Here is a 17,380-nt window from a genome sequence, read left to right on the forward strand (position 1 = left end):
TTGTCGGCCTTATTCTCCTCTGCTGCAGAGTCTTTCTCCATTTAGGAGGAAAGCTGGCTCTGGGCAGCTCCAAGTCTATATATCCACATTGCTCCAAATAAAAAAGGATAGTGCTCTCGCTCTCTCTTTCAGTATCCCTGCATCCAATCTCACGAAAGGATTCCAATGGACCCTACTTTGAATCACTGTGGCAGAGGAATTGGGGTCCTGAGATTGGTCTGTGTAAGTAAAATGCCTGCAGTTGAAGCCAGGGTCAAGTGAGCCATTTTGATTGCTGGCTCTGTTTAGAAAACAAGGGTACTGACAAAAACACAACAGATGTAAATCATCTCCCATCTCTCCCCACCAAACAAGAAACAAAACTTACCAAATCTAGAAACGTATGTTTTTCTACAAGATAATCCCTTTTCAATACTGGTTTTGAAAATAATTTTAAGTGAGGAAGAGTAACCAAAGTTTTTTCTGTCTATTTCAGACTAAACACACGTTCAGGATAATGCTAAGAATATTTTAACTATTTTTTTCTAGTTTCTCTGCATTTGCTAGAAACTTTTTTTTTGGGAGTAAACTGGCTTTAAATGAATAGAAAAAATAATCTACTATGCATATGAATGGTTTCTGGAATTGAATTGTGCAGGCTTAAGTAAAGACATGTCCATGTCCATTTCTAGCTGCTGAGGGTTCTGTGTGAAATGCACCAGTGTGGGCAATGACCTTTTGCTTGATTATGCACAAGGCCACTGAAACGTTAAAATTAACTCTAACCTAATTACTGAACTGCGGTGTTTATATTGTGTATACACCACCAGGTCATAACTCTAGCCTCTGTGAGCCCCAGCTGCCATAATTGAGAAATATGCCTTGCAAATGGTTGTTTTGTTTACTTGTTTTTTCTGCTGGAAGAGCTTGCTTTTCCTATTTTTGCAAAGAAACAGATGTAGGGAAGAGTTTCTGAATAAAGTTTAATTACATTTTATATCTCAATGCAAAACATGTACATCTGTAAGTGAGATATTCCTTTTACTTTTGCGTTACATAAAATGTAATATCTGAAAGCACAATGCCACTTACTATTCACTTTTTTGAGTAATAGCACATTTTAGGTAAGGAAATATCAATATACTAAATTCACATGCAGAAAATATGAATAGTTGCTAATTCCAAAAATAAAAGATATAGAAAATATGTGCATACTTAGGATCAAGAGTTAATATCTAATTAATTATAACTCATGAACAAAAATTATTGTCTTCACAGAAATAAGAACCTAGGTTTTCATAATGTAATTAGTAGAATACAATTTAGATGGCTAATTATTTCTTATGGAATATGTACATATGATAGTAAAATATTTCTCAGAATAATAAGTACAATTGTAAACATCTGCTATGCTGCTTATCTGTTTTCCAGCCAACAGCAAAATCATGAAGGGATTTTGTTTTATTTCAAATTTGGTTTGTCTCAACAGCTAAGATACAGTTACCAAAGTATTTCATTGGCAAACCTGTAGTGGCTTCACATTTGTCTAGTTTGTCAAGGTCTTGAAATGTATAAGACAAGGGAGTTTTTAAATTTAACTTCTCTCCATCAGTCCCTTGGCTTTCTACCATGTTTTATACCTTTTATGCCCTTCCTCCTACCTTGTCACCCTTTCCTTCCATCTCAGCAGATTTCTTCAATTTTGAATTAAAATTATCTGCTCATAGAATAACTGTTTCTTCTCATGTTCATCATCTTCAAAAACTAATATTTAATATTTGCAGTGTCAGCCTAGTGAACTAAGAAAGTATTGAAATAGTTTAAAAACCAGAACCATCTCAGTTAAGCTACAGATTTGTTATTTGTTTTATTCATTTCTTTGTTTGGCTTACACAAAAGCTGTATTTTTAATATCAATAATGATGTGCATGCTCTTGTAAAAACACAAAAGCCTAAAAGATACATAAATAAAAAATTAATAATCTCACTCTCCCTCAGTCCAGTCCTTCCTCTGAGAAAAGCAATGTGAAAGTGGGTTGTATATTCTTCCACATTAATCTTCTGCTTATAGAAATAGACATATAAAAAATTTCCATAGAGAATGAATATATTATTTTCTTTATAAAAAGCATTTGACTTTTCTTTCTGTGTCTACAGAAAAAGAATAAATTGTGCACCTTAGTAGCTCAATAGTGTGTGCATGTTTACTTGTGTCATTTTAAAATTTGCATATCATGGACGTCTTTCTAATTCATCTTTTTAATAGCTGCAAAATGTTACATGCTATGAATATCACATAATGTATTCAACCATTCTGCTATTGATGGATTGTAAAATTGTTTCCCATTTTTTTGCTCTTCTTACTGTAACAAAAATCTCTATCATGTTAATGAATTGATACATTGACTTTCTATCAGAGGAAAAGGAGGTGATGCATCTTAGAATTTAGAGCACAGGCTTTGGAACCATGTGGTTTCAAATTTCAGTTGTGCTTTTTAACTATCGCTATGACTTTAAGCAAATTCTTTAGCCTTTACATATCCCATTTTTCCTCATCTGTACAATGGGGATGATAACACTAACTACATTACAAAGTTGTAGTGAGGAGTTATGAGTATGTATAAAACTTTCAGACTTGTGCCTGGCACAGAGTAAGCACTCAATAATTGTGAGATCTAATATTAAATGTAGTCTCAAACATTTGATGGATAAACCAAAGATGTGAATATTTTAAATATTAATATATTCTGCCAGATTATTTTTCAAAAAGGTGTTTCAGTTCACACGTGGAATATATCAAAATTACGTGTTTCCTCATATCCTGACTCTAACTGCATGTTATTAGTCCTTTAAACTCTTGCCAATCTGATTGACAAATGGTATTCTATTGTTTTATTGACATTTTCCTATTAATAAGGCTAATCTCATGTTTAGAGCCTATTTGAATTTCCACAGGATGCCTATTTATATGTTTTATCCAATTTTCTAATTTTTCTATTAAGTAAAACACCACTTAATAGGAATTATTTGTATATTAGAGATTAACCTTTTGTCATGTGCATAGCAAATATTTTTCTTATTCTAGTATTAACTTGACTATAATGTGTTTTGCTTTTCTTTTTTTATATTACTGATATACTTGAATTAGTTTATTTTTTTCCCTCAACTTTTATTTTAAGTTCCGGGGTACATGTGCAGGATGTGCAGGTTTGTTACATAGGTAAACATGTGCCATGGTGGTTTGCTGCACAGATCGTCCCATCACCTATTAAGCCCAGCATCCATTAATTATTCTTCCTGATGCTCTCCCTTCCCCTGGCCCCAACAGGTACCAGTGTGTGTTGTTTTCCCTCGTGTGTCCATGCGTTCTCATCGTTCAGCTCCCATTTGTGAGAACATGCAGTGTTTTGTTTTCTGGTCCTGTGTTAGTTTGCTGAGGATAACAGCTTCCACATCCATTCATATCCCTGTAAAGGACATGATCCGATTCCCTTTTATGGCTGCATAATATTCCATGGTGTATATGTGCCACATTTTCTTAATCCAGTCTATCATTGATCACCATTTGGGTTGATTCCATGTCTATGCTATTGTGACTAGTGCTGCAGTGAACATATGAATGCATGTAGCTTTATAATAGAATGATTTTTTTTATTATTATACTTTAAGTTCTAGGGTACATGTGCACAACATGCAGGTTTGTTACATATGTATACATGTGCCATGTTGGTGTGCTGCACCCATTAACTCGTCATTTACATTAGGTTTATCTCCTAATGCTATCCCTCCCCCATCCCCCCATCCCACAACAGGCCCCGGTGTGTGATGTTCCCCTTCCAGTGTCCAAGTGTTCTCATTGTTCAATTCCCACCTATGAGTGAGAACATGCGGTGTTTGGTTTTTTGTCCTCATGATAGTTTGCTGAGAATGATGGTTTCCAGCTTCATCCATGTCCCTACAAAGGACATGAACTCATCCTTTTTTATGGCTGCATAGTATTCCATGGTGTATATGTGCCACATTTTCTTAATCCAGTCTGTCATTATTGGGTTGGTTCCAAGTCTTTGCAATTGTGAATAGTGCTGCAATAAACATACATGTGAATATGTCTTTATAGCAGCATGATGTATAATCCTTTGGGTATATACCCAGTAATGGGATGGCTGGGTCAAATGGTATTTCTAGTTCTAGATCCTTGAGGAATCGCCACACTGTCTTCCAGAATGGTTGAACTAGTTTACAGTCCCACCAACAGTGTAAAAGTGTTCCTATTTCTCCACATCCTCTCCAGCACCTGTTGTTTCCTGACTTATTAATGATCACCATTCTAACTGGTGTGAGATGGTTTCTCATTGTGGTTTTGATTTGCATTTCTCTGATGGCCAGTGATGATGAGCATTTTTTTCATGTGTCTGTTGGCGCATAAATGTCTTCTTTTTAGAAGTGTCTGTTATATCTTTTGCCCACTTTTTGATGGGGTTGTTTGACTTTTTCTTGTAAATTTATTTATGTTCTTTGTACATTCTGGATATTAGCCCTTTTTCAAATGGGTAGATTGCAAAAATTTTCTCCCATTCTGTAGGTTATTCACTCTGATGGTAGTTTCTTTTGCTGTGCAGAAGCTCTTTAGTTTAATTAGATCCCATTTGTCAATTTTGGGGTTTGTTGCCATTGCTTTTGGTGTTTTAGACATGAAGTCCTTGCCCATGCCTATGTCCTGAATGGTATTGCCTAGGTTTTCTTCTAGGGTTTTTATGGTTTTAGGTCTGACATTTAAGTCTTTAATCCATCTTGAATTAATTTTTGTATAAGGTGTAAGAAAGGGATCCAGTTTCAGCTTTCTACATATGGCTAGCCAGTTTTCCCAGCACCATTTATTAAATAGGGAATCCTTTCCCCATTTCTTGTTTTTGTCAGGTTTTTCAAAGATCAGATGGTTATAGATGTGTGGTATTATTTCTGAGGGCTCTGTTCTGTTCCATTGGTCTATATCTCTGTTTTGGTACGAGGACCATGCTGTTTTGGTTACTGTAGCCTTGTAGTATAGTTTGAAGTCAGGTAGCATGATGTATATTCCTTTGTGTATTTACCCAGTAATGGGATTGCTGGGTCAAATGGTATTTCTGCCTTTAGATCTTTGAGGAATCGCCACACTTACTTCCACAATGGTTGAACTAATTTACCCTCCCACCAACCATGTAGAAGTGTTTCTTTTTCTCCACAACCTCACCAGCATCTGGGTTTTTTTTTTCTGTTTGGTTTTTTGTTTTATTTTGCTTTGTTTTTGTAATTACAACTTCTCCTTCTCAGATGCTGATTTTAATAAAAATTGTTAGATACTGCAATCTTACATGTGTGGGTATTCATTCACAAACATTATAGGTGACAGTTGTGTGCCAGACATAGTGCTAGGCACACTAGGGTAAATATATTTGCATGTACATATGATCATAGGTATGTATAAGCTATCTTGTCCTATATCCCTCCTAAACTCTTCTGCCTGTGCTGATGTAATTAAGAAGACTTATGTTAGAACTAATTCTAGATTTCTTCCTCTTATGTAGGAATAACAAAACATAAAACATCAGAATAAGTCAAAAAGTACCTTGGAGATGCATACTTCACCATTCTTTTTTGCAATAAACAACACGAAAGAGTTAAAGTGACTTTGCAGAAGTGACATTATCACAAAGCTGGTAATGACAGAAAAGAAATGTGAATCCCAGTGCATTATAGTTTCCACTGTATCATAAGGCTTTATGGACACAATATTTTGTGAAGTATTGTTTACCATGAACTGTGTTGACGGTGTTAATTCAATTTGTGGAGCTATCCACATATTTAATAATATATCACCATACTAACTGTGCTTACTTGCTTCTTTTGTTTTTTTTAATCACTTCTTAGGGTCTTATTTTTAAGCAGCAAGGGGAGCCACCTACTTGAGCCACTCTCCCCTGCTGCAATGGAAAACAGTCTCCCTTCAATAAAATGGCTATTCTAGCACTTTGTTCTCACTGTCTGATGTGGCTTGGGGCCAGGTATTCTGTAAAGCAGATTTGAGCATTAGACTAAGAGAGTTATCCTCAGAAAGGTGTTCTGAGAAGGTCTGCCAAAAAAGTTGAGGCTTAAAAAAAAATGTAAGTAGGAGTAGGAAGAGGAGACTTTTAGTGGGCATTTGACTGGGTCTTGCTTTCCTCCTGGTAATAGATTGCTTGGCTATCTACAGATGCTTACAAGATGAGAAAATTGGAGTAGAAAAAAATTGTTTTAAAATGGATTTTAGCAACAGAACCCTCTGCTCTGTTGAAATTGCATGTAGAGCCCAATTTATACAATGGATAAAAAATAGATGTGCCTTATTGTTGGCAAAGATGTGGGAAAAGTTGGAACTATCATGCACTATTGATGGGAATGTAAAATAGTACAGCCAGCCACTATGAAAACAGCATGGTGGTTCCACACATACACACACACACACACACAAATATACATATATATATAAAGTTATACATATATATATAATTACCATATAATCCAGCAATTTCATTTGAGCGTATACCCAAATGAATTGAAAATAGAATCTCAAAGAGATAGTTTTACACCCATGTTCATAGCAGCATTATTTACAATAGCTAAAAGTTGGGGTGGCAGCAACTACAGTGTTCATTGATGGATGAATAGATTAAACAAATTGTGATATATACATACAATGAGATATTATTGTCTTTAAGAAGGAAGAAAATTCTAACTCACGCCACAGCATAGATAAACCTTAAAGACTTTATACTAAGTAACTTCAAAGAGTTACAAAATGGCAAATACTATATGATTTTACTTATATGAAGTACCTAAAGTAGCAAGTTAATAGAATAAAAAGTAAAATGATAGTTGCCAGGAGGTAAGGAAGGCTAAATGGTGAGTGATTATTTAATGGATACAGACTTTTCAAATTTTGGAAGATGAAAAGAGTTCTGAAGATGGATGCTGGTGATGGCTATACAACAGTGTGAATGTACTTAATGCCACTGAACTGTACACTTAAAAATGGTTAAGGTAGTTATGTGTTTTTTACCCCAATTTAAAATAAAATAAAAATAAACTAAGTGCCTCTATTGAAGTAAGGTCTAGCCAACCAGTAGCTCTATACCAAAGTACTGTATTTTAAAACTGTTGAACAAGATGTTTTCTAAAACCTCTTTTATATTTTTCAGTTATAATCATGGTAAAATCTGTATTTGACATTCCTGTGGACTTTTTGCCACAGAAAAGCACAGTATTTTTTTCTTAGGAAAATTGCTTGACTCTCAGAAGGAAAAATATATCAGTGTGCTCCCCAAGGCATTGTGCAGAGGTTATATCAGATGTCTTGGAGTCCATTATGCTGTAGCTGTAGGATGTTGTAGGGTAGCAAGAAATAAGTAACTTTGAGAAGTGGCTCTCATGATATACTAACATGCTGGGCTTTGTATTTCTTTCTTTCTAGGTTTTCTCCTCAAGTTTGCATTCATTTATACTAACTTATAGAAACATCCCTTCCACATTTGTCATTATGACTATAGTAAAACTATGGAAAACAAAGATGAAACTGTAACATTCCTAAAACATATACTGTATACATAACCTTTAGCTTGTTGTAATGTTTAACACACGACACTGTATCACTTTAAACAACATCTCTTCCTCTTATTTGTCCCATCTAATCCTCTGGCATAATGTTTTTTTCAGGATTTCTGTCATTTATCCTTCCTCTTTTTGATTGCTAAATACATAATCTAAAATGTTAGGTTGCAAACTAGCTTCAAATTGGCTAGGAGCTTGGGAGAACTACTCTGAAAACTTTTTATATAAACTCTAAGGAGGTCAAATTCAGAAAAATCTCAGCTGCTGGACTTGGATCCCATTAACCACTGATCATTTATAATTAATATTAATAAATGGCAGATGACACATGTATATTGCTTAACTAAAAATGTGTGTGTAGTATTAAATTTTTTAAAAGTTAGTTAAGACCCAGAGGACCTGAATGTATGTATTGGAATAATGAAAAGAACAAAACTACCAACATGTGATCTAGTATCTTCTAACTACAAGCACCTAAAGTTCCAGAGGAAACAGAAGTACTTTTAATTCATCATATTACATATTGTATTGCCATGAAACTCTATACACTGAAATGCCTGTTTCACAAGCCTATATTAATCTGGACAATTGGCTTATTAATCATTATAGATATACAGATATAAATATATATATATAATATATACACAAACACACTCACACATACAGACACCTGTTAATTTCCTAGTCTAAAACCAAATTGTTTAATACATATGGTTTTTATAATCAGAAATTAAAAAAAATATCCAAATGCTGAGTTGCTTTAAATCCTAATGTTCCATAGAGCCCCACTAAATAATATAACAGCTGGAAGGGATTTATTCATCTCTGGACACTAAGGAGTTAGGGCACAGTAGTTCAGTTACCTGGTTATATAAATCTGGGAACCTATACAATGATTAAAATGGAAATGAGACCTCCAGTTACTGCAATGAAGGTAAATGGTTTTCCAGGGGAATTACACTTGGACTCAAAATCACCTTACAAAAAGCCAAAAGACAGAAACATGTATTCGCTTGGGCTATATGTCCTTATTCAACCATATCCATTACCATAACCATATTAACATAGATTCTTTCTGATTGGACTGTGATTTAATAATAATATTATTTGTTTAAATGTTGGCAATTTTACATAATTATCTCATTTAAAATTCTTTAAATATTGCAGGCATATATGCATTATTATTATCGACTGCATTTTAAAGATGAGGAAATTGAGGCTTTGAGTGTGAGTAGTAGATTTCACACTCAAAGACCAGGACTCACACTCAGACCTAATTCTGAGTCCAGTGATATTTCAAGTATTTGAGGCTGAAAAGAGTATATAACTACCTTAAGAATGTCAGTTAATAAGCAAGTTAGTCAGTACTAGAACCTAAATCTTTTGTCAATCTGATCTTTCCATTCTGTCTTTTTCAACACTTTTGCCCTGTGTTCAAGAGGATCATTTATTTCTAATCATCTGCTCTTTTCTAACTATACTTATCACACATGAGGCTTAGCATCAACCATTATTTCTTATTAATGATATTATCATTGTTGAAAAAATTGAAAACCTCTTTTTACCACCAAATCTGCTTCATCTTTCTGTTTACAACCATTTTGTTATTCAAATAACAAACTTAACTATAATAAGCAAATTGGCCAGTGATTTCCCCTTTTGCTTCAAATCATTCTGATGTTTTAAAGCCAAATAGTTTTCACAAATTGCCAACATTGTATTCAAATGCACTAAATGGTTATGTTAGTGCTATCATGTTGTCTAAACAAAGGCGCTGTCAGTCAGTAGAGTCAGTGACCTTCAGGCTGTTAAGTGGTTTGTGCAATTTTCACAGGATTATGCTTAAATATAAATCCTAATAAAGAATCTCACTTGGCTTTTTAAAAGGTTGTTAAAATTAATACTTAATCCAATTCCTATAAAATAATATTGAAGACATAAAGTAAAATTTACTAAAAAAAATGTATTTCAAAGGCTTGGATTTTCTACTCAATTTATGAAGCATATATGGTCTCCTAAATGCTGTGTGAATCATTGGACATGCCAGACATGAAGCAAACTTCCCACCCCAGGAGGCTTCTCAGCCTGAAGCAAGCTGTAAGTGGGTAGAGTTCCAAGAGGGAACACAACGTGCATGTGCGAGGAAAGCAGATGCAGCATGACTTTGGGTTTGTTCTTTGGGAACACACAACTATATGGAAAAATACATGCTGCTCCCAATTGCTGTAGACATCTGCTGAAGGCACGTGAGATTGAGACTAGGGAATGGTACAGAATTTCTCCTAGAATATTGTAGTTTAACTTTGGAAGCAAGGGGAATTGGCTGTTAACCGAATAAGAGTTTCATTCTAACATGAAAATTGTACAGCGTGCTCATTCGTGTGGGCGCACAGAGGGCGTTAAGCTATTTCTTTATAAAAATATGGGAACATTGATTTCCTTTAGCAGTATTATTTGATATCTATTTACAGTTTAGTTGGGTTGTCAAACATCAGTGCATTTCTAATAATGTGTGTTTGTGATACCTTGCTCGTGGCAAAGGCTTAAAAATTTAAAGAGGCTTTGAAATACTTTTTAGGCATGAAATTGAGCTCACAAAATAAGCTTAATGGCAAATTAGTCAGGAACACATGGATATGTTTCCTTTAATTTGTATACAGATTTTCAGAATTAAGATGTGGTAAAACCTACTAGCAGTCTATTAAGCCTTCTAAGGCACTTGCAACATAATTAGAGATTTGCAAATTCAAGGTTGGCCTAATAGAAAAACGAACAAATTTGTGTTTGCATTTTAGCATTGCCTGAGTATTTTTACAAACACTTCATTTAGCATAATTTTGAAATGGTGGATATGTTCTGATCAGAGGACTAAGCAGTATGAAGAAAGCAAAAGAAACATGTTTTTAAAATCAGGGTAATAGATACATTAAGAAACTGCTTCTGTGCTAGCTTTTATTTTGTTACCATTGTCCTATGGGAAGATGAGGACTATAATTTTTCAAGTTGACCTCCCTGCCACCATATTCTCTAGAGCCACTAGAATGGAACTAGTCTTACTCTGTTTTCCTCAAAGATTTAAGTGTATGTGTGCTACACAATTATTTAACACTTCAATAATAAAATAATTGAAAGTAATTGTATGGAGTCATAGAACTGAACATAGTCACCAACACATTTTTTTAAAGTATTTTATGGTCTATTTGTGTTTCTTTTCAGTGATATAAGAGATTTTCATTTGAAGTACCCATGAAAGTTTTCTTAGGGCAGTTCAAAGGGAAGTCTGACAGAAAGAGTGTTTAGGTTGATGAAGAAGCTTTCTACCCTTGGGCAGCTTTATCTTAAACTTTAAACTAACCATGGAATCATATGAGTGAGGAACTCTTAGACTTCTTTCATTTATATCCCTGACTTTAAGCATAGATGCATGAAAATTTATTTGATTTTAAGACTTCTTAGTGAATGGATTTTCAACCTTACTTCAATGCAAAAACGTGATTTTCCCCAGCTTATCAAAAGCTTTCAATGCTCATTCTCTTTACATTCAATAATTCATTTGTCTCCTAATGTATACATTTTCCCAAATTAAAAATATTCATTTATATTTTTTCCTGTATTTGCCCTTTTGTCTGTCTTAAGTTGGCCCATTTGTTTTATTTTGGTTATTTGTCTAACTTAGAAAATAGAATTCCTTTATTGAATATAAAGTCCCAAAGCATGTTACTTAGTTTGTGTTTCAATATTCAGCATCTTGCGGAATATTGAAAACCAGTAAGTAAAAGCTTTGCTAGTTTCAATTACAGAACATGTTTGAAAAACATGCAGTTGTGTTACCTTCTTCAGTGGTGGCATATGGTTAATCTACCACCACCAAGTGGAAATTGGGTAGGTGACTACTTCAGTTATCAAATAATACTGCCTGGTAACATCAATTTTGTTCGTATATGAGCATAAAGTACTGGAAAACTTTATACTTTTGGATCATTTAAATGCATCTAAAAATCATAGTTTGTTTCAATATTAATTTGCTTAAGAAATCCTTTTTCTCCCTGTCAACATTGCAGAGGCCAATTTTAGCACAGTTGTGACAGTTCCTTCTAACTCATAAATTACAAATTGATGGCCTTAAACTGATTTTGTTGTTACTCAGCCTCATTTCTGCATCTTAAGACTGGTCTCATCCTGAAAACTAGTAAGAAGAGATCTAATATCAAACCTGGATATTCTTAAAGACTGGATTATTTAAGACTCGTTCACCAAATTTTCTAATACCAGTAAATGGGGACACATTATATTGAATAAGGGTATTGTTAGCCAAATTCTAAGATTCATCTTAAATTGTTTTCTTATAAGAATTGTGTATTTACCATTTTAAAAATCACTATTATTTTAAAACACTTAGAAAGTGAACATTTGAAAATGATGTGCCTTTGGATGCTCTGTAATGTTAAGCAGATCCAGACATAAAGACAAAAGTAAATTCCAGAGTATTTTTGTAGCCATGGAATCACCATAAAAAGGGGTTTTTGACCCCAATGTTACCGTAACATTGTCTTCAGCATTTCATATTTAATTACAGTAGATTACTCACCAATATAATAAATATAGATTTATGAGATACTTTAATGTTCTAAAACAAATGAAAACCACCCAAGAGGAGCCTCACCAAACCTGAGGTTGTCCAGATTGCATTGACTAAGATTAAGTAAAAGATCATTCATCTCCAGAGGTCATGCAATTAATCTCAGAGTGGGAGTTAAAGCAATGACTAAGCAGAAAAGGAAGCCAAATACAAGCTCGTAACAAAAGGTGCTGGGGCTCCAACATCAAGGAACTTGTTATTTCCTTTTTATTTATTTATTTTTTTTTAATAGACCTAAAACACTCATTCCTTACTACTGGTTTCTTTGGGTCCTAAAATTCCACTTGGTTAGGTCAGCTATTTTCCATGACTATTTTTGATACGGTCAAACAAATACAAAGAATAAGCTTTTAAAAAACTACAGTGGGTTTTCATGTCTAGGAAAACAATATGACACTTCATTTTATGTGTCAACAGAAAGTAATTTAGGATGAATGTATAATAATCCAGGGTTTGAACAATGAAAAAGCTCAAGATACACTTTAAGGAAGACATATTCTACTCCAGGGTTTTATAATTATTTAAATTCAAATAAAATCAAAGTTCATCTTCACTTAACTTAGGTACCTGATACCTGTTGCAAAATATTGAGGAAAATGTTTGGCTGTCATTCCTTGAAGCTGAATCTTTATACCCTTGCTTGATAATCCCTCAATTCCCTGTGGCAGCAAATTTTTATTTCTAGTAAACACAACTTGTTTTTTCCTTCACCTTATTGAGATTCAAAACCTTGTGTTTTAAACCAAGAATAATTTTGAACTTGGTCGTTCCTTATTGCAAGGACTTCCTCCAACTAGGGTGAATTTTCACCCACGATTAGCCTGCCTTTGGAGTTTATGATGTGAAGTGCCACAGCTGATGGCCCATGAAAGAGACTGCTAAGTCTATTGCTCACATCAATATTCCCGCTGGATATTTTGCTCATTCCTTGGGAATTTCAAAGAATAACAAATAACCAACAAATCATCAAAAACTGTAACATGTTACCCAATTCTTGGGAATAAGCCAGTGAGACTAAAATCTGCTTAAGTATCACAAATGTGAATTCCCAGCATTTCAAGCTTGTAAACTGTATCCAACACTCACCAATGTCTATTCCATTTCTTAGCTGTACAGAAGGGGCACATTCATCTGGTAACTGTCAACAATGAGGTTCCTTCCTTCTTGAACCCAGCTGGCCATACAAGCAGGCAGGAGTTGCATGTTTGACCCTGAGACAGCAAAGGGTATTGCCCTGTTGGGAAGACAACAGGATTGCGATGTAATCTGGAATCAATTTGAGATTAGCACCAGATGCTCCATGCCAGTAATAAGTGCTGATCATAAGACTTAATTTTGTATGCTATTAGAATTAATGATAAGGTATAAGCATAGTATGTCCCAAACTATAGGAATGAATAAGAGCAGAGTGAAAAACTGAAATGGTAAAACAAGAATAGAAGTTTTAAAATAGGTAAATTGAAAATATTTGTTTACTTTATTTTCATAGCTTGAGTAAAAGAGTTGGAAGACAAAGGAGAAAAGGACTTGCAAGAAGCCAATTTTTTTTTTTATGAATGTGTTTGTTTTTCCTCAAAAGTCAGTCGTAAATGCTCTTCAGGGAAGGGAGTCAGAGAGAGCCAAATAGTGGTCTTAAAGTTTTGTTTGTGTTATTATAGTTCTCTTGGTTTTTTTTTTACAAAAAGAGAATGGTGAAATAACTTTTGTCACGTTAGTATTAGTCTCATAATCAGTGGAACACAGTCCTTTTTTGAGTCATTCCTGAAATAGAAATGAGCATGAAATGAGCCTGGTATTCATTGAATATTAATAGGTACATTTAGATGCATGTCTAGGACTGTGCAGTATATGAGAGATCCTTTACTAGTCATCTTGAATTTAAATATTGAAATGGTAACTAATTATATTTCACTGTATACACTTTTAAATAGTAGATTATATATTATAGTTGGTAAGGGGAAACATATTGTATTATTTGGCTGGACAACAGCTAATAGTATCACAGACAACTCCTTGAGATTCTCTAAGTTCTACACATAAGCTTCTTAATTACCAAACTCATAACAGAATATGTGTCTTGAAGCAGCTTTGAGTCCTATTTTTTATATAATTATAAAAATAGAAGTCAGGTTAAAAAATGATTAATATTGGTGCAAAAATGGTTTTAGGTATCCCTTCAAAGATTCTCCTAAAATGATTTGTAATCTGGCAAATAAAAATATTCTCCATGCTATAAATATGCTCAGTAATAAGTCAGAAATAGAATATCAATTTCTGTGAATTTTCAAAGAAAAACATGCTGGGTTAAGGGCCAACATCATATAACATTTATTGCTTTGTATTACATTATACACACACAAACACACACATGTTTTGTGAACTTTTATAAATGGAATCAATAAAAATATGTGTATATAAAATATATTGTTCTAGATATGAACTATATTTTTATATTATACTTCAAAAATATGAAAATATTGCTGAGAAAGGACCATCTGTGTCTTCTCACATCTAACTTTTCTTGATTATTTCTAGGAAAGCAGACTAAACACACAGTTCTGACATAATACAGCATCCCATTTTGATTTCTGGTTAGCTCAGAAGGCTTTACCAGCCAAAGAAAGTCTCTGAAAAGGGCAAACCTTTCTGACCTCAGGAGGTTCTGATAGGAAGAACTGAAGCGGTGAACACCCAGAGGAGAGAAAACATGGGAATAAATTCCCCAAAGTTCTGTAACCACAGTGATGTGGGTGCATAGAGGAAGACATAATTTCATTCTTAAAGAATGTCCCTGTTTTCACATTCTTTCATTTGTCTTAAAGTTGATCTTGCAGATGATATAGTCCAGATGAATTTCTGCTTAATAAGAATTCTTGTTCACAAATTGACAGAAAAATATACCAACCATATATGTAAAAACACAGTGGAGAATACCCAAGCATACCATAATACCTTTCTCATAATTCAGCTAATAATCTATCAGATCATTTTTAGGAAAAGGAAATTTTTGCTTCTTACAATAATTAGATTGAGAGTAGAGAATTAGATTGAGAGTAGAGGTATAAACTCGTAATAAAAATTAGAATGTGGTTTCTTTCTGATGCTCCGCTTCCTTTGATTTATTAGTTTGCATCTTATCAATAAATTCACCTTATCCAAATTTGCTGGAACAAAGTTTTCAAAAAGGAAATTAAGGCTCTTATGTGCTAATATTCTGTGTAGACAAATTAGATGCTGCTCATAACCAAAACGATCTCATTTAGTTTACTCTAGAACATTTGAATAGTGGGATGAGGGTCTTTAAAACTGTTTTGGACATGTGAACTGAAATATAAGAAAACCATTACAAAGTTGGGTTTGTATTAGTTTTTTGTTGCTGTCATCATAAATTACCAAAAACTTAGTGTCCTAAATGACACAAATTTATTATCTTACAATTCTGTAGGTGAGAAGGTTGACACAAGTTTTACCATGCTAAAATCAAGGCATCAGTAAGGCTGTGTTCCTTTTTGGCAACTCTAGGGTAGAATCCACTTACTTGTCTTTTCCAGATTTTACAGGCTGCTCACAATCCTTGGTTCATGGCCCCTTTCTCCAGCCTCAAAGCCTCAAGTGGCAGGTTGAGTCCTTTTCACACAGCATCTCTCTGACACACTCTTCTGCCTCTTCTTCCACTTTCCACTTTTAAGGACTCATGTAATTAAATGGACCAATCTGGATAATTCCAGATAATCTCTGCATCTCATGGTCAGCTGATTAGCTAGATGCTAGAAGTGAAAATAACAAAGATATGCAAATATGTATGAGACTCCTTTGGAAGTTCATAATTTCATGGGAGAATTGGTTGTAAACAAATAAATGCAAAATTGACAGATGTGTCCTCTGGAAATAGAGGAGATAAATTATTATTGGCTCTTAAAGGCCAAGTAGAATTTTCCAGCTAAAGAGAAGGAGAGGAACTTTCCATTGAGAAGCAACATCAATAAAATCACAAAAGCAAGAAAGAGCATGATGTGATCAAATTATAGTTAACTATGTAGTGTGACTGAGCAAAGGCAAATTAGGGAAGGAGGTGCTGTTCAATAACATAACCAAGAGTCAGATTCAGAAGGGCCTTCTAAACCATGCCAAGAACTTTGGGAGTACAGGCACTGGGCAGATTTAAAAACAAACAAAAAACCAACAGGAATAAAAGACCAGCCCTCTGCACTATAAGAAGGTAACCTGACAGCAAAGTGGAAAATATCTGGAAGAAAACAAAAAAAAAAAAAAAAAAAAAAAAAAAACCACCAGATCTTTGCAAAAATCATTCTAGAGGTTCTAGAGATGACAGAGGTTTGAACTGAATGAGGATAAAGAAGGAATGACACATTTGAGAGATATGCAAGAAGTAAGGCAGATGGCCTTGAGTGGGTTAACAACTTTCATCAAACATCTTAAAGGAATTAAGTGCTCCTCAGATTTTACCCAAACCAGATTAAGGCTGTTCTATTATTAAGGGTGAGTTGATTCACTCAGCTGTTTTATAGTTTCATAGAGACCATTTATTATTGTTACTAATTATTTTTATTTTAGGGATTATAATTTTAGAATTCTTTTCATTTTCAACTACTTATATATCATTTGTTTCTCATACCTACCCCAAATAATGAGAATAGTAGGAATTATTGATTCTATTTTATAAATGAGGCAAACAAAGCACAGAAAGTGCTTTACTTAAGGTCATATTGCTGATGAGTAATATAGCCAAGTTTAAAATGCACGTTTCCTGATACCTATTTCAGATATTTAAAATTTAATGTCCCACTTTTTTTAAGCACACATTTTAAAAGATGAGGTCTTGAGAGTTTAAGTAATATCCCCCAAAGATAGACTATGACTAAATAGCTTGACAGAAAATCAAACTCAGATCTTTCTAACTTCAAAGCCCAAGGTCATAGCAGCTATACATTACTGCATCCCTCCTCACCTGCTGGAGAAGATCAGGGAAGAATTAATAGAGAAGTAGCCTTTAAAATGTATCTTGAATGATGTATGTAGGTAAGGGGTGATCTTCAAGATACTTAAAAACTATACAGTAAAATATACAAATACAGTACCCCATATATAAATATGTTAAATATATTATCATACATAGAT

The 17,380-nt window shown here is 34.0% G+C and overlaps 1 protein-coding gene and 1 long non-coding RNA gene across 9 annotated transcripts in view; one reads left to right on the plus strand and one right to left on the minus strand.

Annotated features, from left to right (window-relative positions):
- The window catches only part of LOC105377989 (uncharacterized), a 347,578-nt gene that overhangs the window by 298,722 nt on the left and 31,476 nt on the right, over positions 1-17,380 (minus strand). For all 7 annotated transcript variants that reach the window (XR_002956387.2, XR_007059748.1, XR_007059747.1 and 4 more), the window contains exons 2-3: positions 15,780-16,008; positions 13,328-13,475 (exon numbers count right to left, since the gene is read on the minus strand). This is a non-coding gene — a long non-coding RNA (uncharacterized LOC105377989). The remainder of the gene's footprint in view (positions 1-13,327; positions 13,476-15,779; positions 16,009-17,380) is intronic.
- The window catches only part of RSPO3 (R-spondin 3), an 80,811-nt gene that overhangs the window by 45,318 nt on the left and 18,113 nt on the right, over positions 1-17,380 (plus strand). The window lies entirely within an intron of this gene.

The sequence above is a fragment of the Homo sapiens genome, chromosome 6 (assembly GCF_000001405.40).
Source record: "Homo sapiens chromosome 6, GRCh38.p14 Primary Assembly".
Lineage (NCBI taxonomy): Eukaryota > Metazoa > Chordata > Mammalia > Primates > Hominidae > Homo > Homo sapiens.